Source organism: Homo sapiens, chromosome 16 (genome assembly GCF_000001405.40).
Source record: "Homo sapiens chromosome 16, GRCh38.p14 Primary Assembly".
NCBI lineage: Eukaryota > Metazoa > Chordata > Mammalia > Primates > Hominidae > Homo > Homo sapiens.
Genome location: NC_000016.10, coordinates 57941123 through 57957794, shown reverse-complemented (window position 1 = coordinate 57957794; position 16672 = coordinate 57941123). Strand labels below are relative to the sequence as shown.

At 50.3% G+C, this 16672-nt stretch overlaps 1 protein-coding gene across 3 annotated transcripts in view; it reads left to right on the top strand.

Annotated features, from left to right (window-relative positions):
* The window catches only part of CNGB1 (cyclic nucleotide gated channel subunit beta 1), an 88789-nt gene that overhangs the window by 13334 nt on the left and 58783 nt on the right, over positions 1-16672 (top strand). For 2 of the 3 annotated variants that reach the window (NM_001286130.2, NM_001297.5), the window contains exons 12-14: positions 418-454; positions 7255-7414; positions 8356-8442. In NM_001286130.2, coding sequence (NP_001273059.1) covers positions 418-454; positions 7255-7414; positions 8356-8442 — 284 coding nt within the window. Of the gene's footprint in view, positions 1-417; positions 455-2426; positions 3121-7254; positions 7415-8355; positions 8443-16672 lie in introns of those variants that run through there. The other variant, NM_001135639.2, reaches the window with a different exon arrangement.

Here is a 16672-nt window from a genome sequence, read left to right as displayed (position 1 = left end):
GTTGTTTACAGAACTCTTTACCTGCATTCTCATACCCAGGGCTGTGAGAATGGAGGTAAAGAGTTCCGTAAACAAAGCTGTCTAGGCCCCAGAGAGAGGAAGGCCTGGCCAGGTCCTGGGCCTTTGTGTCACTCAAGAGCTCGGCCTGGCTCCTCTGAGCAGGTGCCGCTGCTGTGGCTGTCTGGGGTCACCCCCACCTTGCTTCACTTGAGCCAAGGCTCGAGCTCTCAAAGCCCCCTCCCCCCACCTCAAATCCTTCATTGGCCCTGGGCACAGCAGGGACTCTCTTCTCCATCCCATGGGACAACTAAGGCCCGGAGAGGTGGGTCAAGGTCACGTGCTAGAAGGTGTGGCTGAAACGGGGAGGCTGGTGAAGAGGCCGTGGCAGGATTTTCCCTTTTTTCTCTCTCCATGCAGGAGCCTGACTCCCCTGGGATATGTGATGTGCAGACCAGTAAGTGACACATTACTGAGTCCCCATGTACATATTAGGAAGGGTTGCTTGGTGTCCTTGGGTCTGACTGTATGTGGGCAGGGGGGCTGTCCCTGGCCAGACCTGGACTCACACAGGGGGGCAGTTAGGGTCTCCTGGGCTGGAGCTGAGAGAGCCCCATGCTCTGCAGGCCCTACCTCTGTTCAGGTAGCCAGGTAGCCAGAGCCTGGCCCAGAGCCAGATGGTGGTTGGAGGCCCCCGGAGCCCAGTGTCCAGCTTCTATCCAGGGAAAACAGTCCCAGGGCTAAGTCAGATGAGCTCTCCTTCCTGCTGGTAATGCCCAGAGAGCTTCCCCCATCCCCTGGCAAATGGGTTTGGCCAAGCTGAAGGGAGAGGGGTGGGGTCTCACTGGGAGAACCAGGCTCCACAGCCTCCAGCTCCCTTGAGCTGGAGGGGGTCCCTGTCACCTGCAGCTGGGTTGGGGAGGCATATGATGCCCTTTATCCCAGCCCTGAGCCAGGAATCGGGGACAGAGGACTGAGACCAGGAAGGGGCTGGAGGCAGGATCTGTTCTTTCTTCACTTCATGGCCTCTAGAGAGGCATGCGGTGGACAGGCATTCATTCATTCATTCATTCAATACATAGTTAAGGACAGCCTACTATGTGCCAGGCCTGTGATGGGTTCTAGTTGTGAGCAGAGTTCAGGGGCTGTGGGTGGTGGCATCCCCTGTTCCATCCTGAACACAAGCCCTTCAACCACAGGCCTCAGGCTGTCCCAGGGCTCTGAGCTCTGCCCTGTGTCTGCAAGGCTGTGTCCAGCCCCAGCCCCGCTAGTCTGATGGTGGTCTCCATGAGTGCCCTGAAGCCGGGGGTGGCCGCCATGGCCTGGAGCACACACAGCCCAGTGGACTGTGGAGCTCAGGTCTGATGGAGAGGCGTGGGGGGCGTTAGGGTTGATGGTAATCATGGCGATGACATGAGGAGGAGGAGAGCTGGCCTGTCTCAGAGCAGGGCATAAGCAGTCTCTCATGGAAGCTCGTGGCCAACCTGGGGCAGCAGAGCAGAGACCCTCATGGCTGTTGGGGCAGGCAGTGGGCAGAGCTCAGAGAACCAAAAGCACCTGCCCAGGGTCACAGAGCAAATCGAGTCCACCTGGCCTGGCAGCCACAGCTTAAAGGAACTAAAAACGTTTCCTTGGGGCAGAGAGCCTTCAGAGGGTCTGCATCTGAGGATGGAGCATCAGAACCCTCTGGAAGGAGGCAGGATTCCCCGCCAGCTGTGGCCAGGGCCTCCCTGCAATGCCTGGAGCATATGGGTTATGGGTGGACGCTGGGTGGCCATGGGGGCAGGCTCATGGGGACAGGGAGAGGAGCTGGCTTGGTTTCATTTTCTAGGACTGCCGTAACAGATGTGCGCACACTGGGCGGCTTAGAACAACAGACACTGATTCTCCCACAGTTCAGGAGCCAGAAGTCCAGGGTCAAGGCTTTAGCAGGGTTGGCTCCTCCTGGGGCTCTGAGCGAGACATGCCCATGCTGCTCTCCTTGCTCCTGGTGGCCACTTGCGGTCCTTGGCAAACCTTGGCTTCTGGCTGTCCTCCAGTGCCCGCCTCCGTCTCTACACAGCCTTTACCTCTGTGTCTGTGTGTGTCAAGCCTCCCTCTCCGTTCTTTAAAAAGGACATCAGTCACTGGATTTAGGGCCCACCCTCAATCCGGGATGATCTCACTTTGAGATCCTTAACTTAATCACACCTGCAAAGAAGCTATTTCCAAATAAGGTCACATTCACAAGTAATGGGGTTAGGACTTGCAATTATCTTTTTGGGAGACACCATTCCACTCACGTCCCATGTCATGGGGAGACTCTGAGAGGCTGGGGGATATGTGTCCCTTACCTTCCCCATTCATTCACTCATCCACTCACTCACTCACTCACTCATTCCCTCCGCCTGTCCACCCAGCCACCCACCCTGTCTTCTCCTTTGTTTCAGGGGTGATGGGAGCTGGAGGTCTCTGAAATAAGGGAGAAGGGAATCTGGGAGAGCTCAGATGGACACATGGATGGAAGGAAAGAAGGATGCCCTGAAGAGAAGACCTTCCCGGGGGAGGTGGCCACTGACACCCCACCCTATTTGAACAGCGAACCCCTCCCTCTCCACACACTCCCAGGCAGGACAAGGGGAGCCAGAGTCACCTGCACCAGCCCCAGAGCCTCCCAGACCAGAACAAGGGGAAGGCCAGCCATGGGCAGCCTGCAAGATTTAGGCTAGACAGCAGGACTTACCCCCAGAGGGCTGTGGAAAAGGCCCATAGCCGGGCGTGGTGGCTCACGCCTGTAATCCCAGCACTTTGGGAGGCTGAGGCAGGAGGATTGCTTGAGCCCCGAAGTTCGAGACCACCGTGGGCAACACAGTGAGACCCTGTCTCTAAAAAACCTTTTTTAAATTAATAAATTAAAAAGCCCCATGGATGGAGGACTCAGTATTGAGCATCTCTTTGAGAGGACGCGTGCACAGCCCCCAGTGTGGTACCTGGCACCGTCAGCACCTCGACAGGATACAGTTTTTCCCAGAAGAGGTTCTCCCTAGGCCTGGCCACACTCTCTCCTTCCAAGGCTTGGGGACACCAATGAGCAGCAACAAATGTTTTCATTAACATTAAAAGAGTGTAAATGAGCACATCAAACCTGTGATTGCATTGATATTATTGCTTAGGATAAAGCTAAAAGAAGGGTTTAGGTTTTAAAAGTGGGTGGACTGAATAGCCCTGGGCTTGCGGTGTTGGGTTGCAGGAGGAGAGGAATTAGCCAGGGGTCCTGAGCTGGGGGTCCTGGCTCCCAGCTGGCCCACATGTGTCTTTGTTTGGGCCATGGAGTGATTTTAAAAATTAGAATTGATTGCCAACATTTAAAAATCAGGTAGCTTTACATGGAAAAATCTGGCTTCTCTTGAAAACTGGGTGGACTTGGCTGTCATGGGCCCACACTGTGCTTGTGAGGACAGTCTGGGCAGCTGCTGGCACCTGAAGGCAGGTGGCACCTGCCTCTTCATTTGTTTACATCATCACCCTGGCTGGGCAGGCCTTTGGATTTGAGATCCCTGAGGTCTCAAACTGGTGATGAGGTGGGGCAATCCCAGTAGAGGGAATAAAGTGTGGCATACAGGAGAGTGGTGGGACTTCAGCTAATCTGGAGCCCAGCATCCTTAATGCAGAAGATAAAACTAGAGAAGTTGGGGCCTGACTTTAGGAAACTAAGCTGTAGGCAATGGGGAGCCATTGAAGGTGATTGAGCAGGGGAGTGACTTCAGAAAGATTACTCTGAGGCTGAGCAAGCATTGGAGACAGGGAAAGCAATCAAAGCAGGGACACTTCCAAAGCACCTGGGGCCAACTATGAAAAATGTCCTACCCCAGACTTTCTGATTCAAGAGTACCGGGAGCTGGGAATTTGGTTCTGTGTTGTTTTTTTTTTCTTTCTTTCTTTCTTTTTTCTTTGATGACCAAGCAATGGTTATGGAAGAATCTGCTTTATTGAGAAGCACCTGCTTTCTCAGATGATTCTGATGACGGGGTAGAGGCTGGGACCATACTTTGAGAAACATCCAGTGAGAGGTTAGTGCTTTGGGGCCAGGTAGGAGGAGATGTGAGCCTGAGCCAGGGAGAGGCAGAGGAAGGAGGTATCATGACCCAGGCCTGCCAGAAAGGATGGAGGTTTGGAGTTAGGGCTCAGGCTTTGACAGAGACCCAGGGGTCCAGGTGGGGACCTTAGCCTAGAATTCATGTGCCCTGGCTCCTGCCTGCTGATCCTGGAAGCAGGGGCTCCTTCCTACATGAGGCTGTTGACTTTCTTTTTTTTTTTTTTTTTTTAAGATTGAGCCTTGCTCTGTCACCAGGCTGGAGTGCAGTGGTGTGATCTCGGCTCACTGCAACCTCTACCTCCCGGGTTCAAGCAATTCTCCTGCCTCAGCCTCCCTAGTAGCTAGGACTACAAGTGTGCACCACCACGCCCAGCTAATTTTTGTATTTTTAGTAGAGAATGGGTTTCACCATGTTGGCCAGGATGGTCTCGATCTCTTGACCTCATGATCTGCCGACCTCGGCCTCCCAAAGTGCCGGGATTACAGGTGTGAGCTACTGTGTCCGACCGAGGCTGTTGACTTTCACTGGCCAGGGTCAGAACCTCATTTGATGGCCCTGAGGGCAGAGAGGCCACTGACCAGGAGGTGGTGTGCCAGGGTGGAGTGGCAGTTTCTATGGGAACTAGGGCACTCATAGCTCCTGAGCACCTGGGTAGGGCCACGGAGAAGCTGGGCGAGCTATGAATCAGCTGCCTGTAGAGAGGGGCAGTTGGAGCTCCAGGGGTGGGCCAGGGGCTCCTGCACCACGCCTCCTGGGGGCCTGCCCTGGGGGCTGTGTGGCAGCATACCCAATCCCTCCCCTTCCAGGTTGGTGATCTTGGGCACCGTCCTCCTCTCAGTGCTGCAGAATCTTTAGCTGTAAAATGGGAACAGTATAGGACACATCTTGCAGGCCTGCTGCGGAGATGGAAAGAGGAAATGAGGCCGGGCATGGTGGCTCATGCCTGTCATCCCAGCACTTTGGGAGGTCAAGGTGGGTGGATTGCCTGAGGTCAGGAGTTCGAGACCAGCCTGGCCAATACGGTGAAACCCCATCTCTACTAAAAATACAAACATTAACCCGGTGTGGTGGTGCATGCCTGTAATCCCAGCTACTCGGGAAGCTGAGGCACGAGAATTGCTTGAATGGGAGGCGGAGGTTGCAGTGAGCCAAGATCATACCATTGCACTCAAGCCTGGGTGTCACAGTGAGACTCTGTCTCAAAAAAAAAAAAAAAAAAAAAAAAAAAGGAAATGCTTGTAAAACACCCACGCACTAAATAGGACCTAAAAAGAAAATGTTAATGGAAAGGAAAGGAAAGGAAGTGTGGAAGCAAGGACAGCATCAATTCTTAAGGACGGCACCCCATAAGGAGTGGCCACTGATGCCAGTGAGGCGCTCGTGGGGCACATTTATCACCTGGGATAGTGCACTGGGAAAACGGGAGTCAGGGGACCTGGCTCTGCCTCCACCTTCCTGTGTGGCCTGGGACAAGACACTCAGCCTCTCTGAGCTGGCTCTCTTTAAAAGGGGGAAAGTACTGTTCCTGCCCTTTGGGGCTGCTGTGAAAGCTCACGTGCTGTCAGGCAAGATGTTCTGTTCCCTGGATGTCCCCTGCTATGCCCAGGCAGGAACTGGCATCCCAAGGGGCTGCTTAGAGTGGAGACATGGCACTATTGCTGGACAGCAGCATAGACTGACACAGACAAAGCGTCCCACCACCGGATTCAGGGTCACACTTGGAGGAGCCTCCCTGGCCAAACCCCAGGGGCGTTTGCAGGGCCAGAGGAGCCGGGAGCAACCATGGAAACAGCTAGTTCAGGATGCTCTTGGGGCTTCCCTAGAGGGCAGGCAGCACCTCATCTGTGAAACAGGGATAATATCTGTACCTAGAAGTGGGGAGCTCTGTGCCTGGCAATGGAAGCACCCCATAAAAGAAGGTATTTATCTGTGTCTCAGTTTGCTCATCTGTAAAATGGGGAGAAAAACATAAAAGAGGGAAAATAAAATGGGGATGCAAATTATAACCCCAAAATGTTGATGTGAGGACTAATCGAGTTATTCCACGTAAGCCATTCAGCACAGGGCCTGGAACATAGTAAGTGCTCAAAAATGCAGCTGCTGTTACTATTATTGTTGTTATGCAACATCATGAACAATAACAGCCAAAGTCTCAGGATAAGACTTGAGGCCGGCTTCCATTTAAAGTCATTGTTACTACTACCCAGGTATGGTGGTGCATGCCTGTAGTCCCAGTTACTCAGAAGGCTGAGTGAGGTGGGAGGATTGCTTAAGCCCAGGAGGTCGAGGCTGAGGTGAGCCATAATTGCACTAATGCGCTCCAGCCTGAGCAATAGAGCAAGACCCTGTCTCAACAACAAAAAAGTCACTATTACTAATTCATGTTTGGCTGAGGTCCACCAAGATCCCTGGAGCTTTCGGGGGACACCTAGTATTCAGGCATTGTCCTTTGTCCCTGACACCTGCCTGGGGGTAGGCTTAGGTTCCTGATGAGACTGCTCTGCACTCCCTTTGAGCATCTGCCAGGCTTATAGGCCCAGGGTGTTTTTGTTGTCAAGGACCAGGATACTTGAAGAAGTGTTGAAAATTAGACTCCCATCTGAAATTGGGACCACCCCCATGAGAAAGATGAGTTTCCCTGGAGGGCGGAGCCTCTAGACCCAGGAGGGAGGGAAGGACTCTCAGAAGCAAATGCCGAACGTATGGGCGTGCTGTCACCCGGGGGTGGCATCTACAGAGCAGGAAGCGGGCAAGCTCTCTCTGCATCCCCCAGGACAATCCAGTCCACCTGCACCTGGATGTGGCCAGGTGGACCCTGAACCTGGGCCTTTTGGCATCCCTGTGATGCTGTGATTGGAAGCATTGTTTCTGCCTCTGCACAAACCTTTAAGAAGGAATCCCCCGTGAGAAACAAACAGGATCAACCATAATCAAAGCTCTGTCTCAAGAGGAGAAGGGGGGAAAATAATGGAGACAGAGTGAATGAGCACAGGCTTCAACCTATCACCGGAACACCGATCTGGTCCCGCTGAAAATGGAAAGTGCCATTTCCCCACTGCATGACTAAGCACTGAGGCACTGCTGGCGACAGCCAGGGCTCCCTGCAGGCTCCCTGGGACTCAGAGGCCCAAGCCCACTCTCCCGCACATCCCATAAATGGCTCTTCCTGTGTTCCCTGCAGTCAGCATCCTTCCTGGAGGACAAGTGGAGCCTGACCTTGTCCTAGAGGAGGTTGAACCGCCCTGGGAGGATGCCCACCAGGATGTCAGTACCAGCCCACAGGGTACAGAGGTGGTTCCAGCTTATGAAGAAGAGAACAAAGCTGTGGAGAAGATGCCCAGGTGGGGAGTCTGAGAAGACCCTAAAAGATTAGTTATTGTTTGAGAAAGTGCCAAGCATGCAGTACCTTATCTCAAAGATGAAAAGGCACAGAGCAGGAACCAAGCCTGCTTCCCCCTGCCTTCATACAGCCATCCTTCTCCCATGGGTAGAATGGCTACCAGGTTCTTATGTGCCACTCCAGAGACAGTCTGGGTACATGCAAGCTCGCATCTCCCTCCTTTTTTCTTTTTGTACAGAAGATGGCATAGCACATGTACCTATCTACACCTTCCTGTATTTATTCAACAATATACCTTGAGGTCTTTCCACATTCAGGATATAGAGGGCATCTTCATTTTTCACTGCTGCATAGTATTCCATCATATGGCTGTACCATAATTTATTAAACCTCTTCACTATTGATGGACATTTAGGTTGGTTCCAAAATTTTGTTATTATGAACAATTCTGCATCAGGCACTCTTGTATGCATGTCTTTGCACATGTGTGAATACGTCTGCAGGAGATTTCTAGAGGGGAATTGCTGGGTCATTGGTCATGGGAATGTGGAATTGTGGTCATGATTGCCAAGTCGCCTTCCACAGGGATGTCGCAATCTTTGTTCCTACTAGAGATGCTTGGTGACAGTGGGAGGTCTCGGGTTCTGAAGCCCATAACTTACATAGCTAAGATGGGGAAACTGAGGCCCAGAGAGGATCAGAGGCTGACCTAGGGTCACCACCAGGACAGTGGCTGGGACAGTCCCCTCATGCAGAGGAGAGGGTTTGTTGCCAGAGAGAGTTCAGGGTTGCTCGGGTGGGGCTCCCCAGGTTGAGCCTTGGTTGGAAAGTCCAGGTCTGGGCTCAGGTGTCATGGGACATCCTACAGAAAATAGAGGCAGGAGGTAGACTCAGCGGGGCAGCTTCGGGTGGGCTCACCTCCTGCCTCTAACCCCAACTCAGAGAGCTGTCCCGGATTGAAGAGGAGAAAGAAGATGAGGAGGAGGAAGAGGAAGAGGAGGAGGAGGAGGAAGAGGAGGAGGTGACTGAGTAAGTCATTTGCTCACCTGTCTGGGAACGGCCCTGGGGCTGGGGTTGGCTGAGCTCCTGGGGTCTGGGCACTCTTTGCTGCTCATGGGAGCTCCTTTCTGTTGTTCTGTGCTGTGTAAGGCTGGGCTTTGACCAAAGAGGCTGCGAGAAGCTGGGGTTCCCCTGCTGTGCTCATCATGACCTGGGAATCATATTACCCACCACTCCACATCCCCCCCCACACACACTAGAATGCAGCCTCCAAGAGGGCTGGGGCTTTTATCTGTTGCTTTCACTGCCATGTCCCTAGAGCCTAGAACAGTGCCTGGTACACAGTGGGCACCAAATAAATGTTAGTTGTCTGCATGGACATATGCAGTGGGCTCCCAGTTCTCCCTTTATTCACAAAGCCAAGGCTGCCTCCCCTCCATATCCACCCACCTTGGTTGCCTTTGATGCCTTCTAGGGCTGTCCTGGATTCTGCTCTACTGCCCAGTAATGGTCGATCGTCCACCCACATCCATATATTTCAATGTTAAACACACAGAAGAGTTCAGTTAAAATAAAAATTAAACACTGGAGATCAGGAAACACTATGGAGGGTGAGTGGAAGGATGACTGGACAGGGGGATATGCATGGGGAAGAGCAGGCAGTTGGACACCTGTGCCTGGAGTTAGGAGCAGGAGAGGTGGGGCTGGAGATGTGACATTGGGATTCTGGGCATGTAGGTGGCATTGAAAGCTGTGGGGCTCGAGGAGATGCCCAGGGAGCGAGTGTGGATAGAGGAGAGGCTCATGGACAAGACCAGAGGTTGGGGAGATGAGGAACCAAAAAGGACTGAGGAGGAGGCACCAGTGAGCAGGGCAGAGACAAGAAGAGTATGGGGCCCAGAAGCCAAGTTAGTGTTTCAGGAAGGTCGACCAGGCGTGGTGGCTCACGCCTGTAATCCCAGCACTCTGGGAGGCCGAGGTGGGTGGATCACTTGAACCCAGGAGTTCGAGACCAGCCTAGCCAACATAGCAAAACCCCATCTCTACTTAAAAAAAAAAAAAAAAAGAAGAAGAAGAAGAAAGAAGGACTGCCTCAAAAGCAGGTTGTAAAGCCTTGAACTTGTTTTCCCAAAGGCGATGGGGAGCCATTGAAGGTTCATGAGCAGGAGAGTGGCATGATCTGGCAGCTGTGTTGGAGAAAGATTGAGTCAGGGAGAACAGTGAGGAGACTGTTATGGTGGGCCAGGTGACAGTAAGTTACTCTCTCCTTGCTCCAGTCCCCTGGCATTATGTCCCTGTGTCTCTGACCACCATGGTACCTCATGACCCGCGTCCTTTCTCCCTGACCTGTCCCTCTGGCCATGGCCTGAGACAGGATAGCACTGTGAGTGTTAGGAGCACAGGCTTTGGCATCAGAAACGCCAACTCCACTTTGCTTCTGTTAGTGAAATGACTGGGGCAAGTGGTGTACCCGCTCAGAGCTTCTGCCTCCACATCTGTAAAATGGGGGATAATAAAAGGCTCCTGCAGAGGGGTCATCAGGGCCAGCGGTGATGATGGAAGTTGTAGGGGAGTAAGTGCCCCATCGATGGCCACTGATGTTCTCGTCCCCCAGTGGCCTCTTTTCGTTCCAGTCAGGAAATAGTTAAACAGGATTTCAGAGCTGGAAGCCTGTTCAGTGTCAGCTGCTTTTAGTCCATCCTTACTCAGTTCACATAGACTCTTTCCATCCTTGACAGGAGGCCACACAGCCTCTACTTGCTTACCTCCAATGACGGGGAGCTCACAACCTCTCAAAGGCTGTCCATGTCATCCATATGCCCCGCTGACTTGTGAAATTATTTCTTAGACCAAAACTAAGCCTGCTTCCCTATGGCTTCTGTCCCTTCCTGACTTGTCCTAATTCTGCCTTCTGAGCCACCCTGCAGTCCCAGCAAGATGAGGAACTTAGCTGCTGCCTGGTTTCATTAGAGCAGCTTGTTTGCCCTCTGCTTTCTATGGAGCTGTGCTTCTGTGTGGGGTGTATAGCTACAAGTGGCTGCCTTGCTGAACTTGTACACCTAACACCCAGGCTGGAAAACCCCTGTATTTGCCACTGCTCTGGATCTGAGACACCCTTTGAAGGCCAGTGATCAACTATGCTCACATACATGCATGTGCAGATGTGTACTAACTATACACATGTTCTCAGAATGCAGTACACATGGGCACACACACACATATCTGCACTATACCCATATGCACCAGCACACCAACACAGACATACATGCTGGGTTATGCACACACTTACATGTACAGGCATGCACACACGTATACCCACACACATGCTTCATATATGCACAAGCACAGGCAGCACATTCATACATATTCATACATGTGTGTGCACACAGGCACACATGTACATACTTGCACACATCCACGTGACAGCCTTGCACAAATGCACATGCATCCAGAGTTACCGGCAGATGCTGCAGGCGTGAACATCTTCATACAAATGTTTACCCAGAGTTTTGAACTTGGGGAACTTTTGGGCTCCAGGCCCAGGGAGGGACAAGGGAGTGACAGAGTTGGTGATCACAGGGCCAGGGCCAGAGGGTGTGAGGCCCAGGGCAAGAAAAACTGGGCTGTCAATGGCTGGGGAAGGATGCTCTTGGCCAGCTTTGCAGAGACACAGGTTACTGATGATGTGAGGGCCTGGTAACGGGCAGATGGTCGCCTAGAGACCCGGTATCTACAGGCAACAGCTCAGCTTTCCCTAGCAACCGAGGCCTTTTGGTTCCACCTGGCCTCCCTGGGGATGCTTCTGCCATTCCCTGCACATCTCCTCAATCTGATTAGAAGCAGGAAGGATTGCTGGCTCCTCTGCCACTGGAGCCACCCTGGCTCGGGAGCTGGGCTCCCACTTGCATGCACCGACCCAGGCTTGGGATGAACGCCACAGCCCCCAGCTGAACCCCTGCACCATGGGCATCCTGACTGGTCCCGACCGAGAGATCCAAGTAGGTGGCTGCCTCTCCCTAAGGCTCCCCTCCTTCCTGCTTTTGGGGCTGGGATTTCAGGTGGACAGTCTGCTGAAGGTGACAGTGAGGACCTTAATGTTGGGGCACGGCCTGCGGGATGGCACAAGGCGGGAGGAGTGGACGGGTAAGCTTTTGAGAGCTGGCTGCCACTGCTGCTCCCTGGATCTTAAACTTGGAAAGCCGGAGGGTGTCTCCAGGAAGCCAACCTCAGCCAATCTGTCTGTTCCTTTGCTTGGAAATCCCTGGGACTTGGGAACTTTCTGGAAGTTGATGGCTTGCTGCTTCTGGGCTGCACAAGAGGGGGCCTTGGCAGGCACTGGGCACCCTGTCAAGCAGGGGCCATACGGCTTTGGTAACATGGCCCCTAGACAGCCCCCGGTGATGCTGACAGCGCCACCACTGGGCTGTTTAGGTGTTTTGATAGCTGGGGATTTTTGTGCAAAAGGTTTCTCAATCCACGTGGGTGATTTCATAACCCTGCAGATCACCGCCTCCTCTGGGATTAATAATAATAATGACAAGAACAATAATAATGGCCTCCATTTGACTTACGATTTTTTTCCATGCCACTCACGGCTAAGGCAGCCTGAATGGCAGATTCTATTATTCTCTCATCCCATTTCACAGATGAGAGAACTGAGGTTCAGAGACAGAGCCCTGCCAGTAAGCGTAGAGCTGGGATTCTTGGCATTACAGACAAGGAAAGCTGCTCCCAATGTTTAGTGATGAAGAATCCAGAAGAATCACCAGAACAACATCTGGCAGTCTTTTTTTGACTTTTCTGTGAGATTCTCATTGGCCCTTCTGATCTTACTCAAATAGGTCAGGCTGCACAGGCCAGGCAAATCCTGCCCATTTGACAGATGAGCAGACAGAGGCAGCCCAAGGGCTTCGAGGTGACTTGCCCAAGGCCATACAGGGGCTTCTGGTCTGACACTGGAATAAGCAGGACCCCAGGAAGCCTCTGGCTGGGCCTGTGGGCAGTTCATTTTCTGAGCCTTGTGCTGTAGGCAGAGAGCCGAGACAGAACCTGTATCTATTTCAGGAAAGTCATCCAGTCATCCCCCTTGCAGCCGGAGACCTGTCTTTAACCCATTTGTGCAAGGCTGACTTCTCCTTAGTGTAGAAGGCACAGTCTCCAAAATACTCAGAGGCAGGCAGTGAAACAGAGCATTAAGCACGTGGCCTTGGGGTCAGTGATGCAGTATCTTATCCAGGCCCACCTTGCACAGGCGGTATGACCGTGGATTGGCCATCGAAACTCTCTGAGCCTCTGTTTTCTCAGCTTGCATGTGAGCAGTAACAGTTACGATCTGTCAGGGTTATGTGAGATTTGAGTTTTTTTTTCCCTAGGCTCTTTTAAAAAGTTAATTATTTTTTCTTTTCTTGTTTTTTTTTTTTTTTTTTTTTTAAAGACAGAGTCTCGCTCTGTTGCCCAGGGAGTGGAGTGGCATGATACTGGCTCACTGCAATCTCTGCCTCCTGGGTTCAAGCGATTCTCCTGCCTCAGCCTCCTGAGTAGCTGGGATTACAGGCATGTACCACTGTGCCTGGCTAATTTTTGTATTTTTAGTAGAGGCGGGTTTTGCCAAATTGGCCAGGCTGGTCTCAAACTTCTGACCTCAAGTGATCCGCCCACCTCGACCTCCCGAAGTGCTGGGATTACAGGCATGAGCCACCGTGCCCAGCCTAATTATTTTTTCAATTGACATAAATTGTATATATTTTTGTGTATAATTGTTGTTTTGAATTATGTATACATTGTGGAATGGCTAAATTGAGCTAATTAACATACACATTTCCTCATATGTTCATCATTTTTTGTGGTGAGAACAGTTTAGATCTACTCTTAACAATTTTTACAAATACATTGCTATTAACTAGAGTCACAGGCTGTATAATAGATCTCTCACATTTGTGCTTCCTATCTAGCTGAATCTTTGTACCCTTTAACCAACATCTATCTCCCCACCTCTCACCCCTCCCCAGCCCCTGGTAACTACCATTCTATTCTCTCCTTCTGTGAGTTCAACTTTTTTACACTCCACGTATAAGTGAGATCATATGGTATGTGTCTTTCTGTGTTTAGCTTATTTCACTTAACATAATGTCCTCAAGGTTCACAAATGACAAAATTTCCTTCATCTTAAAGGCTGAATTCTATTGTGTATATATAGGACATTTCCTTGATCCACTCATCTGTTGATAGACACTTGGGAGGCTGAGGCAGGTGGATCACCTGAGGTCAGGAGTTCAAGACCAGCCTGGCCAACATGGTGAAACCCCGACTCTACTAAAAATACAAAAATTAGCCGGGTGTGGTAACATGGGCCTGTACTCCCAGCTACTCGGGAGGCTGAGGCAGGAGACTCACTTGAACTCGGGAGGCTGAGGTTGCAGTGAGCTGAGATCGCGTCATTGCACTCCAGCCTGGGCAACACAGCGAGACTCTGTCTTGAAAAAAAAAAAATTAATGCTGCAATGATGGGAGTGCAGACACCTCTTCAACGTACTGTTTTCATTTCCCTTGGATCTGTACCCAACAGCTGAATCATATGGTAGTTCCATTTTTAACTTTTGGTGGAACTTCCGTATTCTTTTCCATAATGGCTGTGTGAATTTACAATCCCACCAACAGTGTGTAAGTGTTCCCTTTCCACTGCATCCTCACCAACACTTGCTATCTTGTCTTTTTTCGGGTGGGGGCAGGGCGACAGACAGCTGGAGTGCAATGGTGCAATCTCAGTTCACTGCAACCTCCGCCTCCTGGGTTCAAGCAATTCTCCTGCCTCAGCCTGCCAAGTAGCTGGGATTACAGAAGTGTGCTGCCATGCCCGCCTAATTTTTGTATTTTTAGTAGAGACAGGGTTTCACAATGTTGGCCAGGCTGGTCTCGAACTCCTGACCTCATGATCCACCCACCTCGGCTTCCCAAAGTGCTTGGATTACAGGTGTGAGCCACTGCACCCGGCCTATCTTGTTTTTTTGATAATTGCCATTCTAACAGGTGAGAAGTTAATATTTCATTGCGGTTTTGATTTGCATTTCTCTGATGATTAGTGATGTTAAGCATCTTTTCATATACCTGTTGGCCATTTGTATGTCATCTTTTGAGACACCGAGGAATGTCTATTCAGATTCTTTGCCCATTTTTTAAAATCAGTTTTTTTCCTTACAATTGAGTTGAGTTTCTTATATATTTTGGATATTAACCCCTTATTTGACTTACGGTTTGCAAGTATTTTCTCCCGTTCTGTAGGGTGTTTCTTCACTATGTTGATTGTTTCCTTGGCTGTGCAGAAGCTTTTTAGTTTGATGTAATCCCATTTTGTATATTTTTGCTTTCATTGCCTGTGCTCTTGGGTTCATATTTTTAAAAATCATTGCTTAGACCAATATCATAGGGTTTTTCCCCTATATTTTATATATTGGTTTTATAGTTTCAGATTTTACATTTAAGTAGTGTTCAATCAATGTGGGTAGGGTTTTTTTTTTTTTTTGAGACAGGGTCTTGCTCTGTTGCCCAGGCTGGAGTACAGTGGTGCAATCACGGCTCACTGCAGCCTCCACCTCCCAGGCTCAAGCAATCCTCCCACCTCAGCCTTCCAAGTAGCTTGGACCACAGGCACATGCCACCACACCCAGCTAGTTTTTGTATCTTATAGAGTTGGGATTTTGCCGTGTTGTTCAGGCTGGTCTCGAACTCCTGCACTCAAGCAATCCTCCCATCTCAGCCTCTCAAAATGCCGAGATTACAGGCATGAGCCACCACATCCAGCCATCTTCTTGAGTTTCTTTCGTCGATGTTTTATAGTTTTCAGCATATGGTTCTGTCACCTTCTTGATTAAATTTATTCCTAAGCATTTTATTTTATTTTATAGCTATTGTAAATTGGGTTGTTTCATTTCTTTTTCAGATAGTTCATTGTTAATATATTGAAATGCTACTGAATTTTCTATGTTGATTTTATATCCTGCAACTTTACTGAATTGGCTTATCAGTTCTAACAGTTTTTTGGTGGAATCTTTAGGGTTTTTTTTTATATATAAGATCAAATTATCTGCAAAGAGGAACAATTTAATTTCTTCCCTTCCAATTTGGATGCCTTTCATTTCTTCCTCTTGCCTAATTGCTCTAGCCAGGACCTCTTATAGTACATTGAATAGAAGTGGTGAGAGTGGGCCAGGCGTGGTGGGTCACACCTATAATCCTAGCACTTTGGGAGACCAAGGTGGGAGGATCACTTGAGCCCAGGAGTTTGAGACCAGCCTGGGCAATGTAGCAAGACCCTATCTCTACTAAAAATACCAAACCAAACCAAACCAAACCAAACAAAAACAAAAATAGCCAGGAGTGGTGGAGCATGCCTGTAGTCCCAGCTACTCGGGAGGCTGAAGCAGGAGGATGGCTTGAGCCTGGGAGGTTGAGGCTGTAGTGAGCCATGATCATGCCATTGTACTCCAGCCTTGGTGACAGAGTAAGACCCTGTCTCAAAAATAAATGAATAAATAAATAAATAAATAAAAAGGAAAAGAAAAATAAATAACTAGTGAGGGTGGGTATGCTTGTCTTGTTCTTGATCTTAAAGGAAAAGCTTTCAGCTTTTCACCATTAGGTATGATGTCAGCTGCGGGCTTGTCACATATGACCTTTATTGTATTGCGGTCCATTTCTTCTATATGTAATTGGTTGAAAGATTTGATCATGGAATGATGTTGAATGTTGTCAATTACTTTTTCTGCATCTATTGAGATGATCATATGATTTTGTTGCTGTGGTGTACCGCGTTTATAGATTTCTCAAGGTAATTTGGAGGAGGATCTGGGGAGACTTTTCATGCAGACTGCCTGGCACGCAGCCCAGGAGCCGCTGTGGCAATGTGATTACCGACTGATTTCTGCTGCCAAGCGGCTGGCTCCAGACCGACTAGGCAACAATCCCGTCTCCACCTTCCTGCCCCACCGTCCTTGCTCAGGAGGGCTGAGACTTGGCCCTCTGGGTAGAGAATGATGCATTCAAGTTTCCTGGGTGGCAGACACCCCAGAGCATCCTCTGTGAACCCCTGGATGACAGGAGTCTGAGGGGTGGGGAGGGGGTGTTAGGAAGCAGGAACTAATCCTAACTACAAAAATCACATTAGTCCCTGGTCCTGAGTCATCATTTTAACCCAGAGGTCGCACACGGACATCTAATTTAGCCTGGAGATGGGCTCTTTTGGCTACTACATATTAATAAAGAT